A 2,157-nucleotide genomic window follows, 5' to 3' on the forward strand; every position below is an offset into this window, starting at 1 on the left:
CTTCCTACATTGAAGGCATTTATCAAGAAAAAACAATGCTTTGTAAAACAAAGACTTATCTTTATATTTTTTAAAATACTGCTCTCTGTTATTCACAAATAATAATCATAATAGCCAAGGCACATTCTGACCCAGCCCAGCCTCACTTCCTGCCACATCCCTCACTGCAGCCTCTGACTAACATCCAGCCTTACACACCTACCTGTAGCTCTCCAACACCAGAAATGCCAAGCCTTCTGTTGTATTGCACTGTTGACCTCAAGCAACCCTCAGGGTCAGACTTTGCTGGAATCTTTAGGAACTGACCAAGGCTTCCCCATTCTCAGAGCCTCCACAGGCTTCCCTGGGAGGAACCAGATGTCTACAAACCCTCACAGGATCTTGAGTTCACCCTGGCTGAGAACTTGTCACAGTACATGGTAAGGCCATCAGCAAGAGGAGAGCAGGAACCTCCCGTACGCCTGGCACACAGGAAGCACCAGTGTCTCTTTGCTGAGAAACAACTGGTTTGATAAATTGATGGGAGAACAAATGACTGCATCTAGCCATCTCACTTACCTGAAATTCTAAAAATCAAAAGGGAGAAAAAAATCTGAATGCACAGAAAATATAGAACTAACCAAATACTCCCATTCCTGTGGCCCATTCATTTGACTCCAGAAAGGAACCTCAATCCACAGCCCATGTACTGTCCCTCTGGAAAAAATTCAAACATATCTTAGAGTCTATAGGTGTCACTTTCAAATCCCAACTCTGCCTCTTCAGTTTACTGCCAAAGCCACACTTTCCTGTTCTGTGTGTTTATAACAATGGTACATGCATACATTCATTCATTTGAAGCTTCAAATAAGTGCCAAACACTGTTCTAGTCCTCAGAGATTTCGTAGTGAACAAAACAGACAATGTTCAAATAGAGGAAGAGAGGCAATGAATAAAATAGATCAGTAATATATTGTGTGTTAGATGGTGGATGCATTGAGAGAAACACTGCAAGGAAGGTGGATAGGGAGTATGGATAGCCAAGGCAGGCTTTTGAGCAGAGACCTGAAAAGCACAGCATCTTAGTCTATTCTGGCTGCTATAACAAAATAATTTAGACTATGTGCCTTATATATAGCAAATTTATTTCTGACAGTTTTAGAGGCTGGACAGCTAAGATCAAGGCACTGGCAGATTTGGTGTCTGGTGAGGGCTGCTTCCTGGCTCATAGATGGTGCCTTCTCACTGTGTCCTCACATGAAGGGGCAGAGGATTTCTAATGGGCCTCTTTTATAAGGGCACTAACCCCATTCATGGGGGCTCCACACTTACAACCTAATCACCTCCCTTCTAGTACCATCACCTTGAGGGTTAAGAGTTCAATATATGAATTTGTGTGGGACACAAACGTTTAAAGCATAGCAGGGAGTGAGTGGGCCATTGGAATCCTGGGGGAACAATGTTCCAAGCAGGGGCCACAGCATGTGCAAAGGCCCTGAGGCCCAAATGAGATGGGTGAGTTTAAAGTACAAGAAAGAGGCAGATATGGATGACGTTGATGAAACCACAAGAGGGGAGGTGAAAGAGGAAATGAGAGCAGGACATCTGGACTTAGAGGGCCATGGTAAGTACTTTGACCTGTGCTCTGGGTAAGAGGGGAAAGGACATTCACAGGCACTGGAGCAGGGGAGTAAGATGAACTGATTTGTGTCTCATCTGATCACTCTGGTTGCTGTATTGGTAACAGACTAAAGGGGGAAGCCCAGAAGCAGGGAGGCCAGGTAGGCAGCCATGTGAGAACTGATGGTTTGGACAATGTGGTGCTTATGAGCATGGTAGGAAGAAATTGGATTCCAGATACATTATGAGAGTAGAACCAACAGGAATAATTATATGTAAGATGAAGAGTGGAGTTGAGGATGACTTCAAGATTTTGACCTGCCTCATAGGGTTGTTGTAGGGAAAAGGAAGAAAAAATACCCTTCAAAAGCACTTAGCAGAGGACCTAGCATATGGTAAGTACCACAGAAATATCAATGTTGTTATTATGACCATGATTTAATTTTTTACAAAAAGTTAATTATCTCTTTAATTGACCCACAGCAAGGTAGAAAAGGCAATTCAGGGGAGAGAGATACTTCTAGAAGACATCTGATTGGGGAAAAAAAAAGAAATCCC

The 2,157-nt window shown here is 43.1% G+C and overlaps 1 annotated feature.

The window, feature by feature from the left end:
• Nucleotides 1,564–1,633: a silencer, noted in NCBI's record as "silent region_19567". NCBI's record gives its function as "represses an Ori minimal core promoter by ATAC-STARR-seq in GM12878 lymphoblastoid cells {active_cell/tissue: GM12878}" and the evidence as "EXISTENCE:reporter gene assay evidence [ECO:0000049][PMID:35858748]".

This window comes from Homo sapiens, chromosome 8 (assembly GCF_000001405.40).
Source record: "Homo sapiens chromosome 8, GRCh38.p14 Primary Assembly".
In the NCBI taxonomy this organism is placed as follows: Eukaryota; Metazoa; Chordata; class Mammalia; order Primates; family Hominidae; genus Homo; species Homo sapiens.